General features: G+C 43.0%; 1 long non-coding RNA gene across 1 annotated transcript; it reads left to right on the top strand.

The window, feature by feature from the left end:
• Positions 1–2,858: 2,858 nt before the first annotated feature.
• On the top strand, positions 2,859–7,587 carry LOC124901500 (uncharacterized). Its single transcript, XR_007059933.1, has 2 exons — positions 2,859–3,353; positions 5,036–7,587. It is a non-coding gene; the product is annotated as an uncharacterized LOC124901500 (long non-coding RNA).
• Positions 7,588–8,980: the final 1,393 nt, after the last annotated feature.

Raw genomic sequence — 8,980 nt, 5'->3', positions numbered from 1 at the left:
GATGTTTTCTCATCCCTTAAGCTCTGTTGAGTTGGGGCATTCACTGCCTGGAGCCTAAAGCATCCCGAAGCACCTTCTTCCCCTCACTGCTTCCTTCTCACTAGCAAGCTTCCCCTAAGGAGTGTTTTGTGTCATTGTCGTTCCCCTTCCTCACTTCTAACCATGGGTGCTGTCATCGGCCTTGTCTGTAGCACTGGACTGACCCACTCTTGGTAAAACTGTTCACCATTTCCTTCTAGTTCCCCTGTGCATCCTGTCTCAATCTTTTTCTCACAGCACCCAGCATCCTGGCCGTACAGACAACCACAGGTTCTGTCATTGACCTGACGGGAAGGTTTTTCAGCCTACAAACACCCTTCCCTTTTCCCTTGTTTCTTCCTACATTAAATAAGCTTTGTCTTTAAGAGTCAGCTCAGATGTCCACATCCTCTGGGAAACTCCTTTATCCTCCCAGAGCAGCCATGGAGCTCCTCCTGTGTATGCAGCATCACAGATGGCATATATATTTGTGATTTATATCATATATATATATGTGTGTGTCTATATATATATAATTTCTGTGTCACTGACTCCTGGATGGACAGGAGGGGAACCACTTGAGGAAGAGGCCAGAGTAGTCATATCTGTACCTTCAGCATCGTCACTATGTTTGATGCATTGGTGACTGTTATGGTTTGAATTGTGTCCCTTCAAAAGATGAAGTCTTAACTTCCAGTACCTTAGAAAATGACCTCTCTCTTGACATAGGGTCTTTGCAGATGATAGGTTAAAATGGACTCGTTAGGGTGACCCTAATCCAATATGACTGGTGTCCTCATAAAAAAGGACACAGATGCCATGTGATGATGGACGTGACACTGCCATGCTACAGCTACCTGAAGCTAGGAGCCTGATCCCTTCCCAGCATCCTCAGCAGGAGTGCAGCCCTGCCTGCACCTTAATTTTGGACTCCTGGCCTCCAGAACTGTAAGGGCATAAACTTGTAAGTCACTCAGTCTGTGTTACGTTGTTATGGTGAGGAATCCATGTGTCTGTGCTGGATGACTGAGTGGAGGAAAGAAAGGGGATATCAAGTCTTAACCACAGGAATGCCACTCTAACCCCAGCTCCAATTACACCCACAGGGTGGGGCAGGCACATTGAGGGCAGGGGTGTTGTATTAGTTAGGGTTCTGTAGAGAACAAGAGCCAATATGAAATGATTCCATATATGTCTCTAGAGGCATCTGTATCTATATCTATTTACAAAGAGATTTATTACAAGGAATTGGATCACATAATAATGGACACTGAGAAGTCCCATGATCTGTCACATGTAAGCTTGAGACCCAGGAAAGCCAGGGTGTAGTTCAAAGGCCTGGGAGCCAGAGAGCCCATGGTGTAGATTCTAGGCAGAGTCTGAGGCCTGAGATCCAGGAGCACTGAGCACCGGAGAAAACAGATGTCTCAGCTCAAGTTCCCAGGCAGAGAGGAGTCACCCTGTCAGTGCTATTTTGTCCTTTTCAGGCCGGTGGTGCGTTGCTGAAGGCCCACCCATGCTTGGAGGCCATCTGCTTTCCTCAGTTCACCAACTCAATGTCAGTCTCTCTTGGAGAAACACCCTCCCAGACACACCCGGAAAGATTAAGCCAGGGATCTAGCTGGGCGTACTGCTGCCCACCTAAGTGGACACACACAATTAACCATTACTGGCATGCTCTGAGATTCCCATCTAGCCCATCCTTCCTCAAAAATAAATGTTGGATGTGACTTTTTACACATGACTTCAGATACTTCATTTTTACTTAAGAAAACTATCTCTGAATCCAGCCATTAAGGATAGGGATTCATTCTGAGAAAAGTGTCATTAGGTGATTTCCTGGGTGTGTGAACATCATGGCATGTACTTATACACACCTAGGTGGTAAAGCCTGCCACACAGCTAGGCTGGATGGTATAGCCTGTTGCTCCTAGGCTACAAACCTGTGCATTATGTGACTGTACTGAATACTGTAGGCAATTGTAATGCAATGATAAGTATTTGTGTATCTAAACATATCTCAACATAGAAAAGGTAAAGTAGAAATAGAGCATTATAACCTTATGGGACCATCGTTGAATATGTGGTCTGTCATTGACCAAGGTGTCATTATGTAGTGCATGACTGTATATATTTTATTTGGATTTCTTATTGGCTTCTCTTTTACCAAATCCTAGACTTTTCTGAAATGCTTGCACCCTTATAAGCAATTGCATATTTAAAATCTATTTGAAGGTAATTATTTGCTTCACTGTCTTTTCCATTTCAAATCCTCTTGGGTCATTGAAGGTAATTCAGGTTTACCCTCTGCTCCTGACAATGCTTTGCTACACATTTTCCTGTGCTTTCAACACATACTGAACTTAGAATTTTTGGCAGAAATGATAAAATTGTGGTAAAAGTTTCTTTTAGTAGCAAAGTAAAACTGATCTCTTATTGATTTCTTCCAATATCAAGGATTTTGCACACATATAAAATTGGTTTATACTCTAGTAAAATGGACGAACATTTATCATCTAATTGCTTCAGAAATGTAAATATTAGCTATTCTTTCTTAGAACACCACTATTCACATTTCTAATAAGCCTGTTTGACCACTGTATTTCCTTTATTGATGTGCGAGGCTATAAATGACTTTTTTAAAAAATTTATTTTTATTTTATTTTTTTTAAATTTTATTATTATTATACTTTAAGTTTTAGGGTACATGTGCACAACGTGCAGGTTTGTTACATATGTATACATGTGCCATGTTGGTGTGCTGCACCCATTAACTCGTCATTTAGCATTAGGTATATCTCCTAATGCTATCCCTCCCCCCTCCCCCCACCCCACAACAGTCCCCGGTGTGTCTTGTCCTCATTTAACTCACTCACTTTCAAGTGTCCTTGGCGTGTGAATCACATGACTTTTGAGCTAAGGTGCCTCTCACTGGCAGAATATCCAGAGTACAAGGAAGAACCCCAGGTGTTTGATGGAAACTTCCCATCAGTGAAGCAAAAGCGGATACATGTGACCTTCCGGCCCCAGCTGTGTGCCTGGCTGGACTCTGGGTCTCGGGAGAAAACTGAGCCGCGTGAGACTTTGCCTCTGTTCTGGTGCCTCAATGCTTCAAGTCTCCCTATTTCAACACTGGAAACGATGGTAAAGACAACTCAAGATAACGAATTGAAGATCAAGTCTGATGAGACTGTTCTTCTGAAGACACCAATAACTGCAGTGATCCCCTGGGGCACCTCAAGAGACTATGTAAGACATCCCCAAATGACCATGTCATGCAGAGCAGAAGTCAAGACAATTATCCAACCAATGCCTGTCTTCCACTGGCTGGGGAGGTAAGGAAGTGCTCCTGGGGGTGCAACATCACTCCCATCCCCCTGCATGAGCCTGCAAGCCTCTGTGGCTGGGAAAGCTCTCAGGCAGAGAGGCACAGGACAGGGGGAGAGTGTGGAAACTGCCCGCCAAGATGCAGATGGCATCCAGGGTTAGGGGAGGGACCTGGGTAGGTGCTGGCCATATCTGCACCTACAGTGAAGAAGGAGAGCCCATGAGAAGCAGGAAAGGAAGGGATGGACATGCCATGTGGCCTCTGAGTGGTGGAAGTTGGTTCCTGACCCCACCAGGCTGAGTTCACATGGCCCCTGCCTTGGATGTCTGAGTTCTGGCCAGCAGAGCCTTCCTTTGTTTGCTTAGGCCAGTTCAGATGGATTTCCGTTCCTCACACCCAAGAATCTGATCAGAAAGAACATTGTTAATATTTCATGCACTCAAGCATTTATTCATAAAACTTGACTGAGTGCTGACTGTGTGCAGGCCAGTGCTGGGGAAACAAACATTGATAAAATACAGGAATTGTCCGGAGTTGCCTACACTGTGTAGAGCTGTTTTAACTCAAGACTGTAATTATTCCTACAAAAAAGAATGAGATTTTAAAATATGAAGAAATTATTTGACATATGTTTGAAATTCAGATTTATATATTAGCTTCCTTGAAAAGGAGCACACCTAGAGCAGAGTGTATTTATTGCTCAACAGAGAGCACAGTGACGCTGACTCCTGCCTGGTTCAGCTTGGCCTCTGGCCGCAGACTCTGCGCTGCCTTCTGTCACCCTATATGGAGGGTTCTCAGAAGCATGTTTTTTCCTGCCTGTTATCAAGCTTGACTTTCTGCATCTGTGTGGATCGGTCCTGAAACTAACCAAGAGGAATATTCTGATTTTGGTATTTGTATCCCTTCTTCCACCACACCCTCAGAAATTCTTAAATTTCACCAAGAAAAGTAATATTTCTTTTGGACATATGTTCACCTCTCTCTAGAAACATTGTTCTAAATATCTAACCTACAGCATGTTTGCTGCCGTTTAAATAAGTTTTAATTTTTTATTAATTTTTAGTTTTTTTATTTGAGATGGATCTCACCCTATCCCCCAGGCTGGAGTGCAGTGGCACAATCATGGCTCACTGCAGCCTCGACCTCCCAGGCTCAAGTTTTCCTCCTACCTCAGCCTCCTGAGTAGGTGGGACTACAGGGTACACCACCATGCCCAACTAATTTTTTCATTTTTGTAGAGACAGAGTCTTGCTATGTTGCCCAGGATGAGTTTCTATTTTTAATTGTCTTTCTGGATGAGGATCCCTGAGAAGTAGCAATTCTGAAAGGATTCGCATCCCAGAGTCCCTCCCATCTTTACACATTTCACTGAAACTGAAGCCCAGAATTGGAATCCAAATGATATCTGCTTGACTAAGGATGCAGTAATACAAATCCCACACTTCTTTCTGGGTGGATTGCTTCAGTGAGAGGCGCATTGTTGGTTGGGCTTTAGAGAATTCTGTTGCAGACTCAGGCTGGGTGCCACAGCTGCTCTCCAGCCTGCCCAGCCACAGTCAGGTGTTTGCCTTATTGACTTATTGTATGTTCCCAGGTCTCTCTACTATGAGAAAATGTTAATACTTTGCAAACTATATGAAATATGTTAATTAAACTTTTAGTGAATATATTTTCCCGTATGCATAGGTAATGTCATGGAGCACAGACCTACAGATCATTTACCTCTGCAGGATTCGAGAATGAGCAACCATGCCAGCAAAATGCCTTATGGCTATGGTCAGAAGTAGCCTGGTTGCTAACTCTCTCTGCCCACCACCTCTGCTCATCTTCTGTGATAGGAATTCATCAAGACAGCTATGATGGATACTAATGTTACCTTCCCCTGCTAAACACAGCTCCATTTGCTTTATCTTCAGAGAAGCTTCAGAACTTCACTGCCATTCAAGGCACTACTGCAGGCTGAGCCATCAGTGTATTTTGCCTGGAGTACAGGCCACCTCCTTCAGTCCCCTGCTTCTTTCCTTTGTTCCCCCAAGTTCAACACCCTGTGTGTCTTCCTAGAACTTGAGGCCACCCCATGACACCCACTGCCTCAGAGACCAGCTATATTAGTCCATTTTCATGCTGCTATGAAGAACTGCCCGAGACTGAGTAATTTATAAAGGAAAGAGGTTTAATTGGCTCACAGTTCTGTAGGGCTGGGAAGGCCTCAGGAAACTTACAGTCATGGCAGAAGGGGAAGCAAATGTGTACTTCTTCACATGGCGGCAGGAGAGAGAAGTGTGTAGAGCAAAGAGGGGAAAAGCCCCTATAAAACCATCAGATCTCGTGAGAAATCACTCACTATCATGAGAACAGCATGGGGGAACTGACCCCACGATCTAATCACTTCCCATGAGGACCTTCCCCCAACACGTGGGGATTACAATTCCAATTACAATTCAAGATAAGATTTTGATGGGAATACAGAGCCAGATGATATCACCATCCAAATTTCTTACAGTGCCTCCAGGCTCCCCAGGGCTCCTACACTGAAGGCTCTGTGGCCCTTCCTCCTGCCACTGTCCCCTCATTGATTTCACTCCAAGGAAAGTGGCCTTTCTAAGGTGCCCAGACATTCTGCCACACTTGGGCCTCAGGACACTGCCCTGCCCCTCCCTAGAATCTGCAGGCCCTCTCTTGAGGACTGAGCTGAGCGTTTGCTCAGAGGTGCCTTCCATGACTACCTTATTCAAAATCACAACCGCACCTCTGCTATCCAACATGCCTGCTTAATTCTTCCCCAAAACATATCTATTATGTAATAATCTATATATTTTACTTATTTATTTAGTTTTTTGCCTGTTTCCCCTTGCTTGAATGTCAGCTCCAAGAGTTCCAGGATTTAACTCTGTTTTGTCCACTCTGTCCACCATGCCTGAAACAGTGAAGGGCACCGTGAACTTGGGAACACCTATTCTGATGCTCTAAGTGCCTCATGTAAGTTAATCTGCTTAATCCTCATACCTCCCATAAGAGTAGGTACCATTGTCATTCTCATCTTACAGAAAGAACACTAGAGCAAGCACTGTGACGCCAACAACATGGCTGAATTCATAGTGTTCATGAGTGTGAGATGGGTCTGGCTCCAGAGTCTGTGTTCTTCAACATTGCATGACGACGAGAGCCAGGAGATACACTGTTGGCACAACCACTATGGAGAACAGCGTGGAGGTTTCTCAAAAAACTGAAAATAGAACTACCATATGATCCAGCAATTCCACTCCTAGGTATATATCCCAATGAAACAAAATCAGTGTCTTCAAGAGGTATCTATATCTATCAAGTATCTATCAAGAGATAAATGAATAAAGAAAATGTGGTCTATATAAATGATGGAATACCATTCAGCCTTGGAAAATAATGAAATCCAGTTATTTGTGATAACACAGATGAACATGAAAGACATTATGTTGGATAAAATAAGTCCAACACAGAAACACAAATGTCACATGATCTCACTTACATATGGAATCTAAGAAAGTCAAACTCATAGATGCACAAAGTAAAATATGGTTGCCAGAGGACAGGGTGGGAGATGGGGAGGTGTTAATAAAAGGGTACAAAGTTTTAGGTAGACAGGAGGACTATGTTCTGGAGGTCTTATTTTTCAGCATGGTGTCCATTGTTAATAATGTATACTTAAAAATTGCCAAGAAGGCAGATCTTAAGTGTTCTTACCACAAAAAAAGATAAATATATGAGGCGATGGATATATTCAAGCTTAATTTAGTCAATTTACAATGTATGCACATATATCAAGACATCACATTGTACACCAAATTCAGTTATGCATTGCTTAGCAATAGGGATACATTCTAAAAAATGCATTGGTAGGCAATTTTGTCATTGTGCAATCATCATAGATTGTACTGACACAAACCTAAATGTCATAGCCTACTACACACCTAGGCTCTATGGTATAGCCTATTGCTGTTAGGCTACACACCTGTATAGCATGTTACTGCACTGAATACTGTAGGCAGTTGTAACACAAAGTATTTGTGTACGTAGACATATCCAAACACAGAACAGTTAATATGTTGCACTGAAATCTTAGTACAGTACTGGAGGCTAGAAAGTTTTCAGTTCTATTATAATCTTATGGTCTGTCTTTGAAGCATCCTTATGTGATGCGTGACTGTGAATACAATTTTAATTTGTCTGTTATATACTTTAATAAAGCTGGGGTAAAAGAACTAGTAGGTGTACTTCATTCTTCCTATGATAAGAGCCACTAGCTTCAACACTAAGGCCTTGGCCTCAGCTCAGTTCATTGGTGCAGGTTTCTTTTCCATGTTGGTGGACATGAGCCAGTGGTGGGTTTGCTCTAGACAGACATGTTCACAGATATTTAAAATAAGACAATTATGTATTTTTTTTACACATTTCTTAGCTTCTTTTGATATGGTGGTCTGTGTCCCTGCCCAAATTGCATATCAAATTGTAATCCCAATGTTGGAGGTGATGGTTGGTGGGAGATGATTGGCTAATGGGGGCAGATTTCCCCTTTGGTGCTGTTCTTGTGATAGTGGGTAAGTTATCCTGAGATCTGTTTTTTGAAAAGTGTGTAGCACCTCCCCCTCTCTCTCTTCCTCCTGCTCTGGCAATGTAAGACGTACCTGATTCCCCTTTGTCTTCGGCCATGATTGCATAATAAGTTTTCTTAGGCCTTCCCAGCATGTTTCCTGTAGAGCCTGCAGAACCATCAGCCAATTAAACCTCTTTTTTACAAAACCATCAGCCAATTAAACCTCTTTTTTTTAAGTAAATTACCCATTCTCGGGTTATTTATTTATAGCAATGCAAGAATGGACTATTATAGAAAATTGGTACCAGGAGAGGGGTATTGCTGTAAAGATACCTGAAAATGTGGAAGTAACTGTGGAACAGGGTAATGGGCAGAGGTAGGAAGAGTGTGGAGGGCTCAGAAGGAGATAGGAAGATAAGAAGATGAGGGAAAGTTTGGAACTTTCTAGAGACTTGTTAAATTGTTGTGACCAAAATGCTAATAGTAATTTAGACAATGAAGTCCAAACTGAGGTGGTCTCAAATGGGGATGAGGAACTTATTGGGAACTGGAACAAAAGTAACTTTTGTTATACAATAGCAGAGAAGTTGGAGGCATTGTGTCCCTGCCCAAGGGCTCTGTAGAACTTTGAAGTTGAGGGTGATGATTTAGGGTATCTGGTGGAAGAAATGTCTAAGCAGCAAAGTGTTCAAGATGGGGCCTGGCTGCTTCTAGCAGCCTATGCTCATATTTGTGAGCAAAGAAATGACATAAAACTAAAACTTATATTCAAATGGGGAGCAGAGTGTAAAAGTTTGGAAAATTTGTAGCCTGGCCATGTGGTAGAAAAGGAAAACCCACTTTCAGGGGAGGACTTCAAGTAGGCTACAGAAATCTGCATAACTAGAAGGAAGGCAGGTACTAATAGCCAAGACAATGGGAAAAAGGCCCTGAAGGCATTTCAGAGACCTTCATGGAAGCCCCTCCAATGAAAGGTCTGGAGGCCTAGGAGGGAAGAATGGTTTCATGAGCAAGACCCAGGGCCCCACTCCCCTGTGCAGCCTTGGGGCACTGCTCCCTGC

The sequence above is a fragment of the Homo sapiens genome, chromosome 6 (genome assembly GCF_000001405.40).
Source record: "Homo sapiens chromosome 6, GRCh38.p14 Primary Assembly".
NCBI lineage: Eukaryota > Metazoa > Chordata > Mammalia > Primates > Hominidae > Homo > Homo sapiens.
Note: the sequence above shows the minus strand (reverse complement) of the source record. Positions and strands in the feature narration are given on the sequence as shown.